Genomic DNA, 26,045 nt, shown 5'->3' with positions numbered 1-26,045 from the left:
TACCAGGCTTCTGCCCATGAAGACAAGCCCAGCAGTTCCATATATCTTTACCTCATATTACTCTTCTTTGCAGCCAAGATGAATAACCAGGTTTGCTTGCAGTTCTGCTCATTGAGAGGATGTTCCTTTACCCCCAGTCTTCAGGCAGTCCCTGGGTGGGGCTGGAGTGATGGCATACCATTTTATACTTTTACTAACCTATCAGCCAACTGATCCCATGGACCAAGCTCAGGCTTTTCCCCTTCAGTTAGTTGATTGTAAGGAAGCCCCTATGAGGCCATGGGTTCCAGCTGAGATGAATTATCCTTCAGAGTTCTTTCTTGCTTGTTTCTACTTATATTTGGAACAGGCAATTTGCAAAGGTAGAAAGGAAAAACATCAATTAGGTAGATACTACAATAACTAAAGAGTTAAGTATCAAAATTTTAACTCATGAGGTGATGGTAAGAAGTGAAAACATCGCCTCTAAGAAATATTGGGCAGATAAAATAGAATGCAACAATTCAAAAGAGAAGGATGCTTTAATGTAAGGAGAAAAGCTGTGACTTTAGCTTTAAATATACTAAGATGGAGGTGGTGAGGGTATTCAACCACAAACCTACATTCTATGTGCCCAGGATTGTTCAAGGTATGTGTCAGGTTCTAACTGAGGTCCGAGGGGAGTCAGTGGGTGAGTGGTGGGTAGCCGGAAAAACACTGGGGGAATCGTAGACAGTTTTGACATGGCTTTTCTCTCTCTCTGCGCATAAGCCATATGTACAGCATCAGCAGTGTAGTTATAACTTTTACAGACGACAGTGGCTCTGAATCAAGCACGCGCTCACGTGACTGGTTACTAATGCGCCTCACGTGGCGTGGTTACCTAATGAGCTGAGTTGTGTGAGTGAGCTCCAAACTCACTGAGTCATGCTGGACCGGATGTCTGCTTCGACCTATTCTTGACCGCAGCACATCCGTTTTCCTTACAGTATGTAGTACGCATTCTACCTTTTCCTACAATGAATCCACCAGCAGAAATTCCTGTACACATCTTATCAACAAAGAATTTGAACCTCAAAGAGTAAGTACTTTCTCCAGAGTGTAAGATTGTTAATGTCTGTGATATTCTTTGAAGTGAGGCAAGTAAATACTTCTCAACATGTTTTCTTTTCCTGCTCCTCTTTCTCCTACTTCTTTCCTTCTTTTTTCCTCCTCTTCCTGTTATAGGACTAGCAAGTACACAGGACCACTGTACAGTAACAGATCAGTTACACTGAGACAACAGAGTTTACAGCAGAGAAAGAGTTTAATGCTCACCGGATACCAAGTGAGGAGATGGGAGGAGACCCTCAAGTTCGTCTCCCCAAGGAGCACTTGGCTGGGGTTTTTAATGGGATCATGGAGGGTGAGAGGTTGGAGCATTGAGATTGTTGATATTTGGGGTAAGGGGGATGACATCATGAGGATGTAGAAACTGCATTCTTTGGTGAGTCAGCTTCTTGTGGGGTCCTTCAGACTAGCTGATGTCAGTAGTTTCATTCTTTTACAGGGCTTGCAGGACTTGAAAGAATAGAACTTATGTTTTCCCTTTGAGGTATTTTAAGTTTTTATCTGTAGAGCAGTGAAGGGGAACGGTAATCTTGTAACAGGGTCTATGTAATTCGGAGGCAATAGGCAAACAACTATGAGGAATGGATCACAGAGCATCTAACATAATGATTAATGCTGGGTGTGCTGCAAGCTTGCTTTATTTTCATTTCTCCCCGTCCCTTCTTCCCTGATTGAATTTATAAAGTTTACAGGAGCAGTTTCACTCATGGTAACTATATCTTGGTTTTGAATTAGACTGTCAGTATAGACAGGAAATACGGCACTGCTCACAGTTGATGCTTCATAAATATTTTGGGGGAAAAAGTTCTTACACATTACTCCTCCTGATCTCCGAAATTTGAGTTTGAAATAACTTAAGTAAAACCTTTGAACATTGTTATTTACCAGCTGCAAAAGTTTAAAATATGAAATTTACCTCAGTACAACCCCTCTTGAATGATTTAATTTTATACTTTAAAAGCTACATTTCATCCTATCTGTTTTTTGGCAAAAAGTAATTGAAGCCAACTATTCTTTTCTTTTTCATAATCCCACATGTACAGTTCTTAATTAAGCACAATTAAAATCAGCTTTTTCTGTCTTATTTTGTATTCTCATTCCATATGCTATATGTTCTTTATTTCTATTAAAAAGATGTACTTTTAATAAAAATGGATCTTTCTTCCTTTCTTATATTGCTATGATTTTATAGCTTTCAAATCCATTCTTAATTAGGTTCTGGTGCTGGTGATTATTAAGTTCTTCACACTTCTCTCATAGTGGAGCTTAAGGTAAGATAAAGGAAATGACAATTCCCAACCTTGTCTAGCCTTGAGGAAGAGGGTCAGAATAATATTGGTGGAACTTGAGCTGGAATGACTCTAGATTTAAGCAAAATTTGCGTTTCTTTGGCCATTAATTCAGAATGAAGGATGAGTTTGTGTCACGTGTGCCTCCTGAAGTACTCTGAGATTGCCTATGTACTCACAGGCTCATTCTAGTCTGTGAAAATCCTTTTTTAAACCGGCCTGAAACCCAGGAGCCTCATAAAAAAAGAGAGAAAAATCAATGCAATTAGTTTTCATGTATACTTACGTCTTCCTTCTGTTGTTTGTTGACTCTACACTTTAGTATAATTTCAGGCATAATGCCTCCATCTTTGAGCAGGAAGGAATGGGTTACCCGTGGGCCTTGATGCTGACCTTTTGCCCTGGGAAGCTTGGCTCCAACTGGAGCAGCTGAGGTTTCTGGGCTGGTTACTTCTGCTCCATACAACCTGCTCTATTTACCCTCGGTGAGCTATATAATCTATCACAGTTTTCTGTGTACACCGTGATTTTAAAATGATGGGAAGCACTGGCTTAAACTATGTGATAATGAAGAGAAATGCCATCTACAGATAGACCTGCTATAAGACAAGCATATTATATTCTTATTTAAAATATTTATTTATATCTGTGGCTTTTAAACTGTGTTGCATATTAAGTTCAACTGGGGAGCTTTTAAAACGGGCCTGCTGTGGGGTGGGGGGAGGGGGGAGGGATAGCATTAGGAGATACACCTAATGTTAAATGATGAGTTAATGGGTGCAGCACATCAACATGGCACATGTATACATATGTAACTAACCTGCATGTTGTGCACATGTACCCTAAAACTTAAAGTATAATAATAATAAAAAAAAAAAAACTCTTTTTGTTTTGTTTTGAGATGGAGTCTTGCTCTGTTGCCCAGGCTGGAATGTAATGGCACAGTCTCGGCTCACTGCAACCTCTGCCTCCCAGGTTCAAGTGATTCTCCTGCTTCAGCCTCCCGAGTAGCTGGGACTACAGGAGCACGCCACCATGCCCGGCTAATTTTTGTATTTTTAGTAGAGATGGGGTTTCACCATGTTGGCCAGACTGGTCTTTAACTTCTTTTTTTTTTTTTTTTTTTTTTTTTTTTTTTTTTTTTTTTTGAGACGGAGTCTCGCTCTGTCGCCCAGGCCGGACTGCGGACTGCAGTGGCGCAATCTCGGCTCACTGCAAGCTCCGCTTCCCGGGTTCACGCCATTCTCCTGCCTCAGCCTCCCGAGTAGCTGGGACTACAGGCGCCCGCCACCGCGCCCGGCTAATTTTTTGTATTTTTAGTAGAGACGGGGTTTCACCTTGTTAGCCAGGATGGTCTCGATCTCCTGACCTCATGATCCACCCGCCTCGGCCTCCCAAAGTGCTGGGATTACAGGCGTGAGCCACCGCGCCCGGCCGGTCTTTAACTTCTGACCTCATGATCCCAAAGTGCTTCCACCGCACTCGGCCAAGCATTTAAAACTCTTGATGCTCAGGCTGTACCCCAAACAAACTGCATCAGAATTTCTGAGGATGGAATCTATCTGGTGGAGAAATAGTGATTTGTAGTTTCTATTACGATTCTTAGTAATAGGGGACAAATACAGAGTTCTCTGAAACAGTCCTGATTTCAACTATTCTTTTATAGTAAATCAATGTATTAAATGTGGAGCTAAATGTGCAAATTATGTGTAACTAGATACAACTCAATTGTTATAGCTTAATACTTTTTCACATAAAGAGATTCACAAAACAGGAGCAAAAATTGCTGATTTAATATACCAAAGTAATATCCAATCAACCAGAGTGGTAGATACAAAAAGCCTTATGTAGTCACTTTAGTTTGTTTAGTTTTGTTTTTGTTATGTGACAACTGAACAAAATGTAAAATGATTTTTCTGGGTTACTTTTTTCTTGTGCTGTTAATCAGGAAGGAAAAATAAAGCATTGGTTTGAGCAAAGGGAATCACATGAGCTTGCACTGTGGGTGCTTTTGTGCCTTGCTTTGCGAGAGCTGTACACACGGCAAGGAACCTGGGTGAAGATTTGATTAAAAGGATGGATAATTTTGTTCTTAGGCTGTGAACATCTGAACAGGATACATGGTAAAAAATAAATAAATAAAAAACTAAGTAATTCTCTGGGAAGACTGAACCACGGGGAACAAATTTGGAGAACGGAAGCCTGAAACTCTAGGAATTCTTTAATATAAACTGTGTTTTGCTAAGATATTTAATTATTTTCTCTAATAGTGTATATCACTTAAGGAATATAATCACACTGAAGAATCTGTGATGATTATTTCAGTCATTGAAGGAAGATGATTTGTTTTGACCAAGTATTTTTAATTGTTTGACAAATCAACTTCAGTGGGTTCAAAACTTTCTGAATTTGTACAATACAATTTTGTGTTAACATCTTTAGTGAATTTGTTTGGGGTAAGAGTTCACTGTTTTTCATTAGGTTCTCACAGAACTGTCTGACCTAATGGGATTAGACATCACTGTTTACTTGATCCAAAATGTATCATACTGACTTACTAGACTCCAGGTTACTGTTAAATTTAAGTCCCCAAGGGCTGAATTTGTTTGTATTTGCCTTTTGTCTCATTTCCATATTTAGTAATATTTTAAATTGATATAATGAATATATTATACATATTAGGAAACAAAAATAATAAGAGTTGCTTTAGTACTTTTTGTGTGTGTGTGGAAACTGAGTCTCATTCTGTTGCCCAGGCTGGAGTACAGTGGCATGATCTCAGCTCACTGCAACCTCTGCCTCCTGGGTTCCAGTGATTCTCCTGCCTCAGCCTCCCAAGTAGCTGAGATTACAGGTGCCTGCCACCACACCTGGCTGATTTTTGTATTTTCAGTAGAGACAGCGTTTCACCATGTTGGCCTGGCTTGTCTTGAACTCCTGACCTTAAGTGATCCACCCACCTGAGCCTCCCAAAGTGTTGAGATTATAGGTGTAGGTCACCACTCCCGGGACTTTAGTCCTTTCTTTGGCTAAATTTTGGTAGAGAAATGCTGAGGGTCAGTCAACATTCACTCTGATACCACAGTGCTACCAGAATCTCCTTTTGTGGCCTTTCACAAAAGGAAGATGCAGCTGCAGATGCCGCATAATAACAAAAGGGAGAAAAATATCCACAAGCCCACTAAAGAAAAGCAAAAGGAAGGCTGCTGGAGACTGGAAGATGAAAAACCAGAAGCATCCTCGAGCCTTCCACTTCCGTATTTTGACTTGCTGTTTTTATTCCTTTTCGTTGGGGACAGCTGTGTTCTCTCAATAGATGAGCAATTGTGTGGTGTTGTTAATTTTAATTTAACCTGTGAATCATGGTGATTAGGAGATCTGTAACCCAGGCATGTTAATTAAAGCACCCTTTGTGTGAGTTCTAAGTGGAGAAAAGCCTTCCTTCAGTGTCTATCAGATAGCCATGTTTCGTATGCCCTTGGCCTCATCTGGCAATCATGACATTACATTGCACTTTATCTTCTAGTACCAATTTTACATCATGTTCCTGTCCATGTTAAGGCTTTTCAGAAACATCGACTGAGCTGGGGAAAATATATCTTAATGCATTGCCTTGTTGCTCTTTTGGAGGAACAAGAGGCTGTGTGCATGACAAACAACACTGTCTGCAACATACATGCCAAGGCTCATTTATTTAAAGATTTACTATTCATCATTGTCAGAGTTCCTGCAGGCATTACTGTCAATGTCTTATGTGCATTGTGAGTTCCTCCAAGTGTTCAGAAGAAGACTAAATCCCACTGTGACTTAATGCAAGAGTAGGAAATATTTTGTTTGCTTTAATTTTCCTGAAATGGATTTCTTTGGTTTTAGGGGAAAAAAAAAAGATTACTGCAGGCCACTGAACTATGTAGATCATACTTTATGCCTATGTTTAGTGGTTTCTGATGTTTTATAGTTTTTATTCGTTTTGTTTTATATTTCACCTCCCACCAAATACACACAGAGCAAGTTGTGCAAAACTTATACAGGGAATAATTAATCAACATTTCATCAACATTTCTTATTGACACTACAAATTTAAATCAACAAAATGTATGTCCATTTGCAAACACTTCAAGGAGATGATCCACAAATCAGCAATTGATACTGAATTATTTATGGTGGATTTTTCATAAAACAGGCATCTGCTTTTCTTTGTACTTGGAAAATCTAGTTCATTTCTCAGAGCTTTTTAACCTTTGGGAAAAAATCCACTGAGAAAAAGCTGACAATAAAGAGCAGTGAGTCACCTCTTTGAAGTCATTAGTCAAATACTTGAATTTATATGAATTATATACTTACATAAATTATACGACATATATTTTTGTTGACTACACACTAAAAGCTGTTAAGTTGCTCAGATGTTAAGTTTCCCTCTCCACAATCACATCTCCAACTCTGACTAGCCAGCATCACAAATTTCATGTCTAAGAGATACTCGATGAAGAATAAGCATTGGGGTTTACAGTAAACATCTTCAATTCATCCAGCCTAACTTCAAATAATATTCTATACTTACCCTATATATACTACATTATTATTATAGCATGTGATATATATATATATATAGATTTACACTATCTCATGTAAGAATCCTACATGAGTATAGTCTCAGTTCCTCTCTTCTGCTTTTTCTACTGTTATCCTATATTTTATTTTACATATGATATATATATATATATATATGCAATATATTGCTGTTTTTTTCCTTTAGAACAGAGGTTGGCAAACTAAAGCCCAAGGGCCAATAGCAGGTTGCAATTTATTTTTCTGAATAAAGTTTTATGGGAACACAGAACATCCATTTGTTGACATATTTTCCATGGCTACTTTTGACTAGTTGCAACAGGGACCTGAAAAGCCTAAAATATTTACTATCTGGCTCTTTAGAAAAAAGTGTGCTAATCATATTTCCTAAATTTCTGAGTAATTTAAAGTGAGAGAAAAGTCTTTTGCATTTATCTTTATTTTAACCATTCCTAAAGATCTTCACTTTTTTGTATATATGTGTATAGACTCTAGTTTCTATCTGGCATCATATTCTAGAGAGTTTTTCACCTGAAAAATTCCTTCAATAATTTTTTTGTGGTACAGGTCTGCTGGTAATAAATTTTCTTAGTTTTGTTTGTCTGAGAAATATTTCTTTTCACTGTTATTGAATTCTGGATTTATAGGCTTTTGTTTCTGTTTTTGTTTTAGGCACTTTGAAGATGTTATCTTCTGGGTCGCATAATTCATGACAAGATGTGTACCGTATTTATCACCTTTATCCTTCTTTATGTAATATGTCTTTTATTTCCTCTCTGGCTGACTTAAAGATTTATTCTATCTTCCGTTTCCATCAGTTTAAAGTTGATATGTATAGGTGTTCTGTGTGTTGTCTTTATCATATCTGGGGTTCTATGAGCTTCTTGGATTTGTGATTTGAAGTTCTGGAAAATTCTCTGACCTTTCTCTGCGGGTATTTCTTCTACCCAAATCTCTCTCTCTTCTACTGTAGAATTCCATTACCTATATATTAGACTTTGATATTTTCTCATAGTTCTTGGACGCCCCTTTTTTCTTTTCTGCTTTTTACTTTTTCACCTTTTGGCTCTGTCAAATACATTCTTCCTCTATTTTTATGATTTTCATTTCCAGAATCTCCATTAGACTTTTTTGTATATTTTCCATTTCTCTACTAACATTTTCATCTGTTTATGCATGTTATCTACCTATTCGATTAAAGCCTTTTGCATAATAATCAGAGTTATTTTAGATAACCTCTCTGACAGTTCTAAAACCTGGGTCTGGCTCTGTTATTTTTATTTTTGCTTTGCCTTTTAATAGAAATTTTTCCTCTTGCGTTTTGTATATCTCATAATTTTGAAATTTAAACTTTGGGTGTTATTTATAGGGTGAATGCCCACATACCCATTTTCTGCCAGACTATTAGTGTGGGGAGACTGAGTCCATCTATTCAGAACTTGAGCTGGGTTTGGGTTTTGTTGCTGCTATGCCTCCTTTAGTATACCACCAACTTCAAATTTCTCTGAAATTACAGATGATCTCTGAATTAGGATGATTCAACTTGGAATTTTTGACTTTGCAGTGGTGTGAAAGTGATCCACATTCAGTAAAAACTACTTCAAGTATCCATACAACCCTTCTGTGTTTCACTTTCAGTACAGTATTCAATAAATTACATGATATATGCAGCACTTTATTATAAAATAATTTTTGTGTGAGATGCTTTTCCCCAGCTGTAGGCCACTGTAAATGTTCTGAGCCTAGTCTAGGCTAAGCTATCATATTCAGTAGGTTAGGTATATGAAATAGATTTTTGACTTCAGGTGTTTTCAATTTACAGTGAGTTTATGTAGGCATAACCCCATCATAAGTTGAGAAGCATCTGTATCTTATAATTAGGGTGGGGTATAGGGTGGGGTGGAAGTAGCGGAGTCTTTTTCTCAATGTGCCTGCTTCAGTCTCAGCTTTTGGTCTTCCTTCTGTGCCTGCATGATGGCAGGATTATTTGTTCAGCCTCTTTCTTCTGCAGTAGTAGTGATTATTTGTGCTTGTTACTTGGAGCTTGCTTGCATGTTACAAAACTTGGAAAGTTTTCTTTTGTCCTGTTCCTGCCCTCATCCTAGGTAAACCTCATGTCACTGAATCTTGGGGTGAGGCTTTCTCAGTGATTTTATACTTCCCCAAATAGCAAAGGCTTCTAATGATCTGAGCCTAGGGTAATTATTTCTCCTCCCCTAGTACCACAGGATTATTTTTCTTTTTAATCCCTCAGGTTTGCCCTACTGAGAGAGGTTTTCTTGGGTCTCCTGTTCAATTTTTTTTTTTATGAGCATCTATTGAGGTTCATGGAGCAAGCATGAACTCTCCTAGTACCTGAGGCTCCTGGAGGATCTATACCCTCACAGTTTAGCAGTTTTTAGCAATTTGGCTTTTAGCAATTTTTGAAAACTAGCCAAACTCTTCTCATCCATTTGCTGGTTCTTAGCTTTTGTGTGTGTGTGCGTGCGTGTGTGTGTGTGTGTGTGTGTGTGTGTGTGTTGTGTGTGCTCTGCAACAGATAAGCCAGTGTTCAGTTCATCTCTTCCTGGAGACAGCTCTCTTTCCTTAGATTGCAGGCTACTTGGTTGTTCTGCACACTCAGCTTTCTAATGGTTTTAAGAAAACTTACGTTTGTAGATTCTTCAGCTTTTTCCTGTTTTTAGGGAGGAAATGGTGCTTTGTCCTGTTTTCTACAACCTAAGAAGAAGCATAAGCTTGGTCCCTGTAATATTGATTTTGCTGACTTGAAGATGAATATTTCTCTTCAGCTCTGGAAAATTTTGTTTATTGTTGCTTCATAATTTTTCCCTCTTTTCCTTTTCCATTATCCCAGAAATTCTCTTAGATAAGAGTTGAACTCTATGATTATTTTTCTAATATATTATGTCTCCTTGAAGATTTCTTCTACATTCTTGGACATTCCTTATCTTTTTCTTCAAATTTTCTTTGGAATCTTGTTTTGGCAATTTATTTCAAATGTACAAGAGCTCTTTCTTATTTTATTCCCTTTTTTCTTAGTGTCCTGTTCTCACCTTATGATGCAAAATTTTTAAATTTTATATATCTATGAGGATATAATTTTGTTTCTTATTAGGTATTTGACATTTTCCCTTGATTAAGAAAAAAATAAATTTATTCTGTTGATTTTACCTACCTTTATCTTTTCTTCTGAAGACTTTCTTGAAATATCTGGTGGGGGCTGACAATTTACTTATCTTTCAGAAAGAGCATGAGGATGCTGATGAGGTCTCTGCATACATGGGCAGTATATTTCCAGTCAGTTTTGCTTTAAAGTTAGCAGACAAGATCCAGCCATTTTGTCACAGGCCTTACAAATACCAAAAAGCAAGTGGCCCTGACTCTGAATGTTAATAACAAAATAACTTTCCTCATTCTCCCAGGACAGTTTTTCTAGTTTATTAAAACAACAGCAACAACAACAACAATGTTTTGCCCCAAGAGATGGAGATAATCTATGCTCACTGTGATTTGCATTATAAGAGAAATTATTTGAAACCTTAAAAAAGCAAAAGACACTATTAAATATTCTTTTAGTGTACTTCTGGGATTTATGTTTTATTGTCTGTGCTAATTTATAACTCTATGGGGGCATTGGTTAATTTTTAGATTTTTGTTTAGTAAAGATGTGAATAATTTCTGTCTAATAGAACAGATAATCCTAAAGATGGTGGTTTCTGTCCATTACAAACATTAACCAGCTCTGTATCTAACCTAGCACTCTTATCCTATGATAGTTTTTGTTAAATTGCCTTTCTATAACTTCATTGGTTTCTTCATTTATTGAATTAATATCTTTGACATGTGTTCCTTTTATATTTATATGAGAATCATGACTTACCTTTTTGAATGTTATACTTTACCAGTTGCTAAGGCCTAATCAGCCCCAAACCATCTGGGAGGAGTCTGCAGTCTGATAAAATAAGATTTATTGATTTGCAGCAAGAGAGTCCACTCCAAGGAGTTCTGCTGGGACCCAGGGAGGAGGGAAGTGTCTTTTGTAAGGTTGGATTTTCACTGAAGGATTCTGAGGCAGAACTAAGGGAAGTAGTAATCAGTCCTGGATTGGTTGCTCCTTCTGAAGCAGGATTGGAAGAAGTGAAATTAACTAGGCACTGGGTGCCATTGCAAAGTGAGGAAGATAGTAATTCAGTATCCCCTCAAATAAATGAAAATTGCAAAACAGGTCTAGGGCATCACTGGGAAGAAAGCAGTAGTCAGTCAAAAAGTAGCCATTATAACATTTTATAACCGCTGTATGATCTTAGAAGAAACACCGTTTTCTGTTAATTTTGCAGTTGGCTTTGTCTGTGTGTTGTCTTCACCGCCTTAAAAATGGCCAGGTGATCTTTTCTTCTTCGGTTCAAGCTAATTTTAATTATTTTAGCATTGGTCAGGATTTTAGTCCTTCACAGCCTAAAAAGGTGTAAGATGGAAGATGAGCTGAATGTTGAACAGTATATGTGTCTTTACTTAACTCCTCTTTTAAATCCTATTTCTGGCTGGGCGTGGTGGCTCATGCCTGTAATTCCAGCAATTTGGGAGGTCAAGGCAGGTGGATCACCTGAGGTTAGGAGTTTGAGACCAGCCTGGCCAACATGGTAAAACCCCATCTCTACTAAAAATACAAAAAATTAGCTGGACATGGTGGTGCATGCCTGTAATTGAAGCTACTCAGGAGGCTGAGGCAGGAGAAACACTTGAGCCCCGGGAGGTGGAGGTTGCAGTGAGCTGAGATTGCACCACTGCACTCCAGACTGGGCGACAGAGAGATTGTGTCTCAAAATAAATAAATAAATAAATAAATAAATAAATAAATAAATAAATAAATCCTATTTCTCTCCCTGGTCATTTATGCAACATTCTATTTCTGAATCTAGAGGAGGGGTCAGCAAAGCTTTTTTGTAAAGGGCCAGGTAGTAAGCATGTTAAGTTTTGACACATGCACTACTTATCTACGCTATTCTAACATGAAAACAACCAAAGAATATACATAAATAAGTGTGTGTAGTTGTGTTCTAATAAAACTTTGTTTATAAAAATGGAAAGTGACTAGATTTGGCCTGTGGGCTGTAGTTTGCCTACACTGATCTAGAGTCTCTCTGGGTTTTGACCCAGGTGACCAGCTCCTTTTAAGCTGTAGCTTCCTTTACTAATTCATCTTTCAACACTCCCATTTGATTTGATTTTCCAAAAATGTGCTGATATGTATCATTTACTAATGGCCCTTTTTTATTTCACCCGTTAGACCTTTTTAATTTCTTTTATCTATTTAGCGGAGTCTTTTGAGGTATGGGAGGCAAATTATTGCACTCACTTTGTCATCTTGAAATGCAGACAATATAAAAACATTTTAATAAAAGTGACTCAAGATGAAGTACTTGCATTACCCATTAGGGTATGCCTAGAATGACAATTTTGTCATCTATCAGCATTTTTTTCAGGTTCAAAATTAGTATATTCCTGCACTATTTAATAAAGCAGGCAGGGTTTCCCATCTGTAAGAGCATCACACACAAAAAGCTAAAAGAAAACTGCAGACAGATTAATAGAGCAAACAAGTCAAACCATAACATTAATGGGTAATAATACATATTTAATCAATACTAGTTAATGTTAAAGTGAGATGATACCCTGCAAAGGAGTTCTAATTCTGATTAACTAGTTTGTTATAGACATAGAAAAAATTGAAAGCCAAATATTTCTGATTGACTCCCAATTAGCACCCTCCTCTAAGTTCTTTTATGAAGATACAGATGCAAGATGCCAAATGGAGACCAATGTATAAATGTTTTAAGTAGTGGTGCATTAAATTTCTAAAGTACAGGGCATTCTGAAAAATCCAAATAGGAGAACATACTAGGATCTAAGACTAAGGAGTGAAACTGCTACTACTTACTATAAATCTACTCTTTGATATCATCTACGTGAATGGGTGATTTTTCAAAGCAGACCTCAAATATATTCATTTGGCAAGATGCATGGAGAGCTATGGTCTTCCTCAGAAACCAGTCACCATCAAAATAAACTATACCAGATAGTATATTGGGTGTCTAGGCTGGCTTCCAAAAGGTGCATTTAACATATAGAAGGAGAAATGGCATAACAATGCATGAGACAGATGGTGCAAGAGAGAGTGCAACAGGCCGTACTTTAGAGACACAGTAATGCTACCTACTGCTAAAAGTACCTAAGAGATATTAAGTAGTCACCAATTAGATTCACTTTTTTCAACCTTGGGGTAAATAATCTATGGAAAGAAAAAAAAGATTCTCCTAGATATTCCCCGTATGGTGGAGAGAAGTGGAGACTTCTTTGTTTATGTAAAAAGCAGTGGGGCTAAGAAGAAAAGTGCCCTGCTACCCCTCAAAAAAAGGCATGAGAGTAATTCAGATTATCCTATTATATCAATGCAACTAACATTCTATTAAATGTGTTACTTAATCTATAATATAGATATGATCAAGTCAAAATCTGTTTAATTTTTACCTTAAAACCTGGAAGATTTTACAAAGGAAAGGAAACTGGAGGATTATAAGTAAATAAATACCTGAGAAGGTTAAGCCAGTTATAAACTGGTCACCAATCTACATATATTAATGCTATGAATTTAAGAAGCTCATTAACTTTAGAACTAGCAATTGGCAGGCTAAAGTTATATATATAGAACTTTTAAACTATCCTCTTCAACAGTGTATCAACAGATAGTAATTAGGTTTGGACCCCAGGGGCCTGCAGCTGAGACTGTGTCATCTGGTGAAGGAGGCTTACACATCCCCATTGCAGCATGACTCACATGAGGTAAAAAGTAAAATGAATCATCTTGGCCCCTTGTCCTTATTTTGAAAAAAATATCGTGGAACAAGCTCCCACTTGAAATAAAATTGAAAGCGAAGCACCCAATGTTCTATGATAAAAGCAGCATTTTAAAGAGGTTTAGCTTTATGAATGTAGCTGAAATCTAATCCAAAATTGTACAGACTTTATCAAGAGCCAATCAACCACTTAATTGCATTTTTTTCTAATTGAGTTGGTTCTGCGTCATGCAGCAACTCCATTACATGTACAGTACATACACTCATCACGATACTGTTTTAGGTTTAAAATCAAACAAAGAGCAAAACCATTGAACTCTCTTTACCTGAACTAATTACTCATGTAGTGTAGGAACAAATTATGCTATTTCTTTGTGGAAGCCATTCAGTTTTTTCACCCTTTTGAAAGTAGGACTTACCCTCTTTGTCCATAGCAAGTTGACACTAAGTCACTATGGAACATATACTGACCCCCATTACCATTGTACTCAACTTAGATGCTCTCAAGAGGCAATAATTCATTGAATATTATGAAGATATGTTGCCAGATAAATTTTTAAATGACAGTAAAATCATGAGTCTCATACAAATACAAAATAAACTCATGTCAAATATTTCACTAATTAATTAATGAGGGATCAGTGAAGGTGTTAAGAAACCGATTCAAAGAAGTCAAAGAAAGACATATCTAGGGAATAAAGCAACGCTGAAATATTTGTTAACAGATGCAAAACTGGCTCTTTTCATAAGGTTTAAGGAAATCAATGTACTGTCACTGGAAAAAAATTCATTTGCATGTCTTTGGACAGGACTAATTTACATTAATATCAGTTTTCTACCACTTACAGGGTTGTAAAATAACTCAAAGAACAATGAAATACAGAGATCACTCTAGATTCAGATATACCGGGAAAGATGAGCTACATAGTTCCTTATGTTCCTGAAGGCAGGTATTCTTCTTTGTTTCCTGACAAACCAAGACTAAATTAAGATTTAAATTAAACACAACCACTAAGCAAAATATTGTGTAAACTTTTACTCTGATCATACACATTTCAACTTATTCTATTTTGTGTACACAGTAGATATACCTAAAGTTAGCCGAATAATTTCCTTGTAAATATTGATTGTAAATATTTGTAAATATGTGTGTGTAAATCTCATTGAAGCAGAAGTCTACTTCTCATTTACTTTTTATTATCTCATACATTTGGGCATCAAGAACTACTCCTGTTGACTTCCTTTGTAAGTTATCTTACAGCTGGCCATTGTTTTTTATTTTCACTGCTAGCACCTCAGTCCAACTCTTTAGGCAGTAAATAACAGAACATCTGGGTTAGGACACCAATGGATCTCTCTTCCATGAATCTCTTTTCCCTCTGAAGTTTACAGGACTGCTATATCAGCAGCACCATTTTCTTGTAACTAGCCTATCCAAAATCCTTTACTGTTTCCCAGACCTTTTAGCTTCACATTCAAGGGCAATTGGCTATCGGAAAACAAACACAAGATGGATGAGTCACCTTAAATCCCTTTTTTAGCAAGCTGGTGGATAACTAAACAAAGAGAGCAATCAAACCTGATTTATGATGAGTAAAATGTAGATAGGTCAGCAGGTTTGTAAAACAGGAATTCTTTTCCAAACATGCTTTAGAGGCTACTAGATTTTCATTCTTTCCTTTTTAAGGAATAAGAGTGACTTAAAAAAAAAAACAACTCTGAGTTCACTGACGTGCCAAAGTTCTTTGTCTTTATTGTCACAGTATGTCACAGCTTCAGAGTGACTCAGAAGACCTTAGTGGCATTACTGATTAGTTGTGCGACTCTGGTCAAATTGCTTATCCACTCTGAGATAGCTTCCTTTTTTCTAAAATGGGGATGCAAGTGACAACAACCCTATCCAACTTACAGGGTAGTTGTAAGAATTAGTTGAGGTTGTGTACCTTAAAATAATTACTAATTGATAAAATCTTGTTCAAATACTAATAGTAATAAGTGAATTAGCGTTGACGTTTCCATATCTCTTCTGCATATTCTTCACTGTACAAATTTTATAATTACCTATAATAAAACCTGATAAAAGTAGCCAGAAAGTGCACTATCTAGGTTGAAGGCTCTTCCACCATTTTCTTTTGTAGGGACAAAGGGAAAGCTTCCCCTTTCCCCTCGGAAGTTCTGTTGAAAAATCAACTCACAAAGAGGCAGATTGATAAAAGCTTTAAAATTTTATTAATACTGTGCACATGGGGAGAATCAGAGTGATTGTTCAATATCCTAATGTGATACAGAAGCTTATGTACCTTAATTCTTAGGGATAAAGGGGATGGGGAAATGTAGATAATTTTAGGGGGATAGGAATTGATTTTTAAGGGAATTAAAGGAACTTGAAGAACACACAATGGTCTGGGGCAAAGACAGTTGGGCCCACAGAGTGGATGATGATTTGTGACAAAAGTCTGTCCAGGTTTGTTAACAGACTTCAGTCTTCTTTCCTGCGATATGATTTCAATTAATCTCAGGAAAGGGAACCAGAGGTTAATTGTTTTCTTTTCTGGTAGGTCCAGACATTAGGCAGATAAGGGAACTTCAGCCTGTGGTTTGGGAAAGGTAGAAGATTGAGAGACCGTAGCTGAGAGGTGGAGGCAGGATGCATTGTTCTCCTTGGCATTCTGGTCTGCTCTTTATGTAGATAAGGGAAATGTTTCTTACAGTGTCTGTCTATCTCTAAGGGCCTTTAAATCAAAATACTCATTATACCAGGAGCCATGTTTTGGGGTAAAGTTCCCTGTACTCTTTTACTTCCAAGGACACATATAGAGTTGTTTTTATTTTTCCAAGAATAAAAAGTACATCAGTGGAAGTCTAGGGTTTGCAAGCATATCATATACCAGTAGTTACAAAGTTTGATGTGAATATTATCTGAGTTTTTTACTCATAATTCTATTAAAAGTTATGCTAGACTTTACATATTTGAATTTCATTCACAAGAAAATTCCAAAAGAGAAAACTTGGAAGTAGTTGAAAGAGACATACGTAATATAAAAAAGGAAAAATTTAAAAATGTATTAATTTAGGTTCTAATTTAGAAATACAAATATGCACTAGTTTCAAACAAATAACAAATGACTATGCAAAAGGCACTATCTCATCTTCAAATATAGCTTAATCTCAGGAAATAAATCATTTCCAAAAGTGAAAGAATGCAATTAACATTTTATTAAATATCTACGATTTGTCAAACAGCCTTTAATTTCTACTATTTGTCAAACACAGCTGGGTTAAACTTTATGAAGATACTTTACTGAGCTAATAAGAAAGAGTAAGAATAAGCACATTATTTGTCATTAGGGGGTCTCACAAAGCAGATTTTGATGCAAAGATCTCAGTGCAAGTAATTTATTTGGAAATAAATCCATGAAGTACTCTGAAAGAGTAAGGAAGTGGGAGAAGGAAAGGTGGACAGGTCATAAAGTGTGCTTTATTGAGCAGGATATCTCTGTGTACAGCATGGGGAAAATCTCAATTGCAGACCTCTAAGAGGCTGTACAAAACATGGCTTAGAGTTTTTCCACTGAGAGTAAGGAAGCTGGGTTATTCATCTGCCAGCTCCTGTCCTTCATTGGTTAAGGATTTCTATTGGCGCAGTAAGAGCAATAACTCTTCAGAGATCCAGCCTGCCCAGCAAAAGTACTAACCATATCTGATGCCAGAAAATACTCCTAGGCAGAAAGACACAGGAAGCCTTTGGCCTATAAGGGGACCATCTGCAAGAGAAATAGACCATGGAGATATGGCAGGGCATCACAGAGCCTGCTGCATTAAATCAATGAAACTTGTCCTTATGCTAATCATTGAGGGTGCAGCAAAGAAACAAGAAACCTAATGCATTCTGCTTATGAATTGACATACTTTTAAGAGTTGTATTTGTCATATATAGACCATGTGTCAGGTATTGAGCTAGGTACAAGGAGTACAATAAATAACACAACACAATGTATGCCCCAAAAGGATTTTATCAGCATCAGAAGACATATGATAACATTCCAAGATAAAAAGATATAGAATAAAAGAGTTATAGAAATTTATTAAAGATGGAGTCATGGCTGAGGGCCTCTGAAAAACACAAGCGTAATTTGAAGTTAGCTTTGAAATATTTAATAAAGGGAAAAAATAAAAGAAAATGAGAGCATCAATTGGAGTGGAACACTCATTAAAAAAAAAAACAAAAAACCTAGTGCTCAAAACATAGAAGTAATGTTACTAATACGAGCAGCAGCAAGACCTGTATGTTTGAGACAGAGTGGATGGCTGCCAATGAATGGAGGGTGTAGGGCCATTAGTTGGTTACCCAGGAAAAGGAAAGTGTAGTATCAGGATCTCTAAGTTTAGATGGTATGAAATGAAGGCATCAGTGAAACTGGCTTAGCCTTAGGGAAGGACTTAACTTTCCCTGAGATTAGAAGGCAGTAAGAGTGAGCAGGGTCAGAAATGTGTATTGGTGAAGGATGAAGGAACTCTTCTGCCATTTGCTCTGGACTATCTTTTTAAAGGAGTTTTCATAGCAACACTGTTCATTTTTTTCTCTATTGTGGAAAGATTTAAACTGTTTCACAAATTCATTAATTCAGCCTACAAGTATGCATTGAACATCTACCTGTGCTAGCTATTAAGACAGGTTCTGAATTTATGACTTCAGGGAACCAACAACTTTCTGAGGGTGGATAATGAAAAAGAAGCCTTGAAGGCAGTATGGCAAAAATATGCAAAATGTTTTAATTATGTATGAAGATTAACATAAAGCTGACAATAGAGTTTTGACGTGTTTTTCAAATTGCAGATCAAAACCCATTGGTTGAGTGTGAAATCAATTTAATTACTTAACTAGGGCCATTTTTCTTTTTTAAAATTATATAGACTAGAATAGAAAGTTGCAGAATGCATTACACAAGGTAAATGATTATTTTTTTATGAAAGGACAGCTTCAATTATATGTATATAGTTGTATATTGTGCCATAATATTAAATACATTTCTTACTGTGGATCATGGTAAAAAAAAAAATGCCAGTAAATAATGGTTCAGAACAGTGACCAAATCTGACTTGCCACTTCTTTTGGTAAATAAAGTTTTATTGGACTATAGCCAAAGCCATTCATTTACATATTCTCCATGGCTACCTTTCTATTACAGTGGAATGGCTGAGCAGTAACAGGCCATATGCCCTCAAGTCCCAAAGAGTTACTATCTGAATGTTTAGAGAAAAAGATCGCTCACCCCTGGTTTAGGCTATTTTACATTTCTAAAGAAAATATTATATTGATCAACATTGTTGAAAGTTTAAAATACTGTGGGATATAAGTTACTTAGATATAATTAGACAGAATTATATTCTTTCCAAATTGATTTGTAGATTAAATTCAGTCCCAATCAAAATTCCAATTTATCTGTAGAAACTGACAAAGTGACCCTTAAGTTCTTGTGGAAATGCAAAAGAACCAGAATAATCAAAACCAGTTTAAAAAAGAAAGATAAAGTTGGAGAAATACCATTATCTGATTTCAAGAGTTAGTGTAAAGCTGCAGTAATCAAGATAGTGTGCTACGGACGTAAACATGGACAAATAGAACAAGGGAACAGAACAGCAATCGTGGAAGTAGTCCTACATATATATTGGCAACTGAGTTTCTTCAAAGATGGAAACGTAATTCGGTGGCAAATGATAGTCTTTTCCACAAAGTATAACTGTATGTAAAAGACTGTACTTCATAATTAAAATTAAATCCACAATGAGATACCACTTCATACTTAGTAAAATGGTTAAAAGTTTGAAAGACTGGATGTACCAAGTTTTGGAGAGTTTGTGAAAAAACTGAAACTATCATCCATTGCTGGTGGGAATGTAAAACTGGTACAATCTCTTTGGAAAACAATGTAGCAGTTTCTTGAAAGGTGAAAGGTACATCCACTATATGGTCCAGATATTCCACTCCTAGGCATTTACCCGAGAGAAGTAAAAGCATATGTCATTTATGTACTTGAATATTTATAGCAGTTTGATTTATAGTAGCCCAAACTGGAAACAGCTCAAAGGTCATCAACCAGTGAATGGATAAAAAATAATGGTATATATCTATACAATGGAACACTACACAGCAATGAAAAGGAATGAGCTGTTGATATAGGCAAGAAGATTAATGACTCTCAAAATAATTACACTGAGTGAAAGAAGCCAGATTAAAAAAGGGTGCATAGCATGTGATTCAATTTATACAAAATTCTATAAAATTAAATCCATTTATAGTGACAGAATGTGGATGAATGGCTGCCAGGGAATGGGTGAGAAAGAGGTTTTATTAATCTGTTCTCATGCTACTAATAAAGACATTATCAAGACTGGGCAATTTATAAAGGAAAGAGGTTTAATGGACTCACAGTTCCACATGTCTGGGGGAGCCTCACAATCAAGGCAAAGGAGAAGCAAAGACATATCTTACATGGTGGCAGACAAGAGAGTGGGTACAGGGGCACTCCTGTTTATAAAAGCATCAGATCTCATGAGACTTATTCACTATTATGAGAATAGCATGGAAAGACCCACCTCCATCATTCACTTACCTCACACTGGGTCCCTCCCATGACACATAGGAATTATGGGAGCTACAATTCAAGATGAGATTTTGGTGGCGACACAGCCAAACCATATCAGAGGTATCACAAAGAAGCATGAGGAAAGTTTTTGGGGTGATGGCCATGTTCATTATCTTGATAATGGGGATGATTTCACAGGTCAAAACTTAGCAAATTATATCTTTAAATATACAGTTTAGTATATGTCCATTAGATTACAATAATGATAATAAAAATACAAGTATCCCTAAAAACCTTCACTGATTTTTTTTTTTTCTATTTGGATATTAAGAGACTGTTCTCCTTTTCTTCCCTGTCTCATCTTAATACCAGATTAGTGAAGTTTATGTAATAGTACTCCTGGAATCAATGAGATTAATATGACCTTCTGACTTTTTAATAAAATTGCTGTTGCTATGGCACAGTGATTCTCAATGTGGTCCCCAGGACAAGCCACATCACCTGAAAATGCAATTTTGAGGCTGCATTTCAGTGTTTCCCACAATAGTGAATCAGAAACTTGAAATGGGGCCACAATTTGTATTTTAACAAGCACTTCAGATCATTAATGCAAACTATAGTTTGAGAACCACTGCTATGGTAGATTACATGTTTGGGTAATAATTTGGATGTCAGTTCTATTTTATCAGATATTTTTATCTTTGGGGTTAGATCCTAATTTATTCATAAGAACAAATTCAAGCTAATTTATTTCTGTCAGTAAGGAACAACATATTTTGAAATCGTCATGGGATACCTAGCATAAAATACAATGATAAACAATATGTTGGTTGCCTTTGCCTTCAAGGATCTTCCATTTTATTTTGTGACTTTTAATAGAAGTATATAATGATTCCTATACTGCTCTCCTAAAGTACACTTCAATCATGACTATAAGACATTATTGCTGTATGTAAAATTATGGGTGTTTGCTTTATTCCCTCTATCTCTACAATGCCAAGTTTTACAGTAAAAAAAAAGTGCAATTTTTGCAATAATTTGTGTTGGATTCTCTATTAATTTTTACTTAACAGAGTCCTACACACATTATCTGAACTCAAACCACCAGAAAGGCACATGTGCAGGGAGGAAACAAGCCATTGTATGTACTCAGCAGGGTCCTCCAGCACACAACCACAGGACCCAGTGCACTGAAGTTCCCAGCATGTGTGTGTAAGAATCCTTTAACTGCCAATCCCTGTCTTCCCCTTGAAGGTATTTTCAAACTTATCTTCAATGTCCACCTGAGATTAGTGAATGGAGTCATTTTAGAAAAGTTTAGTTTTAGAAAAGTAGAATGCCTATGGTTTTAGGTCTAATGTTTAAGTCTTTAATCCATCTTGAATTGATTTTTGTATAAGGTGTAAGGAAGGGATCCAGTTTCAGCTTTCTACATATGGCTAGCCAGTTTTCCCAGCACCATTTATTAAATAGGGAATCCTTTCCCCATTGCTTGTTTTTCTGAGGTTTGTCAAAGATCAGATAGTTGTAGATATGCGGCGTTATTTCTGAGGGCTCTGTTCTGTTACATTGATCTATATTTCTGTTTTGGTACCAGTACCATGCTGTTTTGGTTACTGTAGCCTTGTAGTATAGTTTGAAGTCAGGTAATGTGATGCCTCCAGCTTTGTTCTTTTGGCTTAGGATTGACTTGGCGATGCGGGCTCTTTTTTTGTTCCATATGAACTTTAAAGTAGTTTTTTCCAATTCTGTGAAGAAAGTCATTGGTAGCTTGATGGGGATGGCATTGAATCTATAAATTACCTTGGGCAGTGTGGCCATTTTCACGATATTGATTCTTCCTACCCATGAGCATGGAATGTTGTTCCATTTGTTTGTATCCTCTCTTATTTCCTTGAGCAGTGGTTTGTAGTTCTCCTTGAAGAGGTCCTTCACATCCCTTGTAAGTTGGATTCCTAGGTATTTTATTCTCTTTGAAGCAATTGTGAATGGGAGTTCACTCATGATTTGGCTCTCTGTCTAGACATTACCATTCAGGACATAGGCATGGGCAAGGACTTCATGTCTAAAACACCAAAAGCAATGGCAACAAAAGCCAAAATTGACAAATGGGATCTAATTAAACTAAAGAGCTTCTGCACAGCAAAAGAAACTACCACCAGAGTGAACAGGCAACCTACAAAATGGGAGAAAATTTTCACAACCTACTCATCTGACAAAGGGCTAATATCCAGAATCTACAATGAACTCAAACAAATTTACAAGAAAAAAACAAACAACCCCATCAAAAAGTAGGCAAAGGACATGAACAGACACTTCTCAAAAGAAGACATTTATGCAGCCAAAAAACAAATGAAAAAATGCTCACCATCACTGGCCATCAGAGAAATGCAAATCAAAACCACAATGAGATACCATCTCACCCCAGTTAGAATGGCAATCATTAAAAAGTCAGGAAACAACAGGTGCTGGAGAGGATGTGGAGAAATAGGAACACTTTTACACTGTTGGTGGGACTGTAAACTAGTTCAACCATTGTGGAAGTCAGTGTGGTGATTCCTCAGGGATCTAGAACTAGAAATACCATTTGACCCAGCCATCTCATTACTGGGTATATACCCAAAGGACTATAAATCATGCTGCTATAAAGACACATGCACACGTATGTTTATTGCGGCATTATTCACAATAGCAAAGACTTGGAACCAACCCAAATGTCCAACAATGATAGACTGGATTAAGAAAATGTGGCACATATACACCATGAAATACTATGCAGCCATAAAAATGATGAGTTCATGTCCTTTGTAGGGACATGGATGAAATTGGAAATCATCATTCTCAGTAAACTGTCGCAAGAACAAAAAACCAAACACCACATATTCTCACTCATAGGTGGGAATTGAACAATGAGAACACATGGACACAGGAAGGGGAATATCACACTCTGGGGACTGTTGTGGGGTGGGGGGAGGGGGGAGGGATAGCATTGGGAGATATACCTAATGCTAGATGACGAGTTAGTGGGTGCAGTGCACCAGCATGGCACATGTATACATATGTAACTAACCTGCACATTGTGCACATATACCCTAAAACTTAAAGTATAATAATAATAAAAAAATCCTTACATTTATAAGCTTAAAAAAAAAAAAGAAAAGAAAAGTAGAATGCCAGGCATAGAGTAAGTCTTCTAAAATAAGTTAAATTTTTTTTAATAAACGGAAAAATTGGCGGGGCATGGTAGCTCATGCTTGTAATCCCAGCACTTTGGGAGGCTGAGGCGGGCAGATTACAAGGTCAGGAGTTCAAGACCAGCCTGGCTGACACGGTCAGCCTGGCTGACGCCCCATCTCTACTAAAAATACAAAAAATTAGCTGGGCGTGGTGACGTGTCTGTAGTCCCAGCTACTTGGGAGGCTGAGGCAGGAGAATTGCTTGGACCTGGGAGGTGGAGGTTGCAGTGGGCCGAGCTCATGCCACTGCACTCCAGCCTGGGTGACAGAGTGAGACTCTATCTCAAATAAATAAATAGGAAAAATTAGAGTGGCCTTGGATCACCTGGTATATAACCCATAGAGAGGCCACCAAATTTAAGCAAATAAGATCTTTATAAACTGCTGTAAGGATATTTGGAGGTGAAGTTGAGAGACAAACAGACAAAGGAAAAACACTAGCAATTTCATTTAATTTAAATTGGGGGTGGGCAGGAGGGAGAGGCGGAGGAAGAGTGAGAGTTGATTAAGACCTGCAGCAGACTATGATGTGCAAAACTTCTATTTTAGTCCTGGCTTGATTTATGTCCTAATACCAGGATTTAATGTCAATAAATATGACAGCTGGATGAAGAGATAGAACCTAAAGTTAGGACTAATCAATTTCTGTCTAAGAAGACTGAAGCCTTAGACATTCATTTTAGGCTTTGGTGATTGCAAAGTATATATAAAATTTTATTTAGGAGAAAAAGCTAGAATTATTCTCTGGATTTACCATAATGAGTCCACAGCCTCGGGGGACGATTGTTCCTGTTTCTGTAGAATTGATTTGAAACTTGAATAATGTCCCACTGGGAGGCAAGGTGATCATAAATGAAGAAACAATAGAAGTCTGGGGTCACTAGATCAGAAGATACTATTTTAAATATCTCAAAGGGCAAAAAATGGCTATAGGAGATGTCTGGGAAAGAAGGAAATAAAGGGTGGTATGAGCTTCAGCAACTATTATAAAGACACCAAGTCCATGACAATACCTACCAATATTAAGTAATAACAAGGTTCTGTATGTGTGATTTAAACTTGACTGCTGAATCACATAGCACCGTGGTTTCCTGCCTCAGGCTGCAACTCAGACATTCTAATTCCAACAGTTCAGGGTGAGACCAGTGTATCACTACTTTCAAAAACCTCTGCCCATGACTCTAATGTGTTGCCATGTTTGAGAATGGTGGACATAATACGCTGGGTACATGTAGGTATGAAGACATTTAAAAGATGTGGAAAGAAGAATCTGCCATTGCTGCAAGTACCATCATTCATATCTTGCCCTCAAGTGGACATTTTCTATTTTTGAATGAGTTGTAAATGCAAAGAAAAAAAAGGTGAGGATTTCAGTTTAGGCTTGTTAATAAGGACGTCACAAAATCTGCCTTACTGTGCTGTCCTTGGAAAAGAGAATACATATGTAATAACTCTGTATGCAGCCTACTTTAAGCAAGTAAACATTGTGTGTATGTGTGTACATGTTTGTATATGCATGCAAATATTTATGCTTTGACAAATTTGGGAACTATTTTGATTGATCAATTTCAGCTTTGTGAAATATATCAAAGACAATATGGACCTGAAAACTTGCTGATATTTTTTCTATTTCTACCTCATTACAAGTAATTCTAACAGTGGGAAGATGCAGGTAATGTTCTTGAATTGCATCCTCCACATTCTTAACCACTAATTCCCATCTTTGCTGAGATAATCCACCGGAGACATGTACAAGTATTTCAAGGGTTCCTACATTTGAAAAGGTGAGCAATGGAAAATCAGAGTTCTAATATAGATGTTTTCTTCGTTCTTCTCTTTTTCCTTGCCCCTAGTTCCTGTGCAAGCAACACATCTTTATGCACTGATGTCAATCTAGTTAATCATGTGTATTTCCCTGAGGGTGTCTTCTTATGCGCTAGAGGAATTACAAGGGACGTTTTTTTAAGAACTAGGTCAGGTTCTACGTGTACTGGGGCAAGAAGGGAAGAAGAGACTAAACAGGATGGTAAAAGTCACATATACGATTATAGATTTTTGTTGTTGTTATACTGTTACACTCCTTTGAAGGAATGGATTCAGTGTCTCTCAGGGCCTTCATCTGTTTTTACACTAGAATATATATTATTGCTAATGACTATATCCTATTTGGTGGTCATCTCTTTAATTGCCCTGAGCTGTATTTGATTACAACTTGCTTCTCTTTATTGTCTCATTTTCTGTTGGTGTCAAAGTCAGGACCATTCTGTCCTTAAATCACATAAATCAAGTTTGTTTAGCTTATGCAAGAAGTTTAATTATTGAAGCTCCCCTTATTAGATTGTCTCAATATAAAAATTTCTAGGTCACCATTAAAGGAAGTCTCAAATGTTCACCATATTTTATGTCGTAAGGTAGTTTACA

General features: G+C 36.8%; 1 long non-coding RNA gene across 2 annotated transcripts in view, besides 1 other annotated feature; it reads left to right on the top strand.

The window, feature by feature from the left end:
- Positions 244-1,443: an enhancer, noted in NCBI's record as "P300/CBP strongly-dependent group 1 enhancer chr8:107072226-107073425 (GRCh37/hg19 assembly coordinates)". NCBI's record gives its function as "activates an origin of replication core promoter dependent on BRD2, BRD4, P300/CBP, MED14 and CDK7 cofactors, with strong dependence on P300/CBP, by STARR-seq in HCT116 cells {active_cell/tissue: HCT116}" and the evidence as "EXISTENCE:reporter gene assay evidence [ECO:0000049][PMID:35650434]".
- ZFPM2-AS1 (ZFPM2 antisense RNA 1) overlaps positions 938-26,045 on the top strand; it is a 280,094-nt gene continuing 254,986 nt past the window's right edge. Inside the window, exons 1-2 of one of the 2 annotated variants that reach the window (NR_125796.1) lie at positions 938-1,060; positions 2,305-2,360. This is a non-coding gene — a long non-coding RNA (ZFPM2 antisense RNA 1). The remainder of the gene's footprint in view (positions 1,061-2,304; positions 2,361-26,045) is intronic. The other variant, NR_125797.1, reaches the window with a different exon arrangement.

The sequence above is a fragment of the Homo sapiens genome, chromosome 8 (genome assembly GCF_000001405.40).
Source record: "Homo sapiens chromosome 8, GRCh38.p14 Primary Assembly".
NCBI lineage: Eukaryota > Metazoa > Chordata > Mammalia > Primates > Hominidae > Homo > Homo sapiens.
Note: the sequence above shows the minus strand (reverse complement) of the source record. Positions and strands in the feature narration are given on the sequence as shown.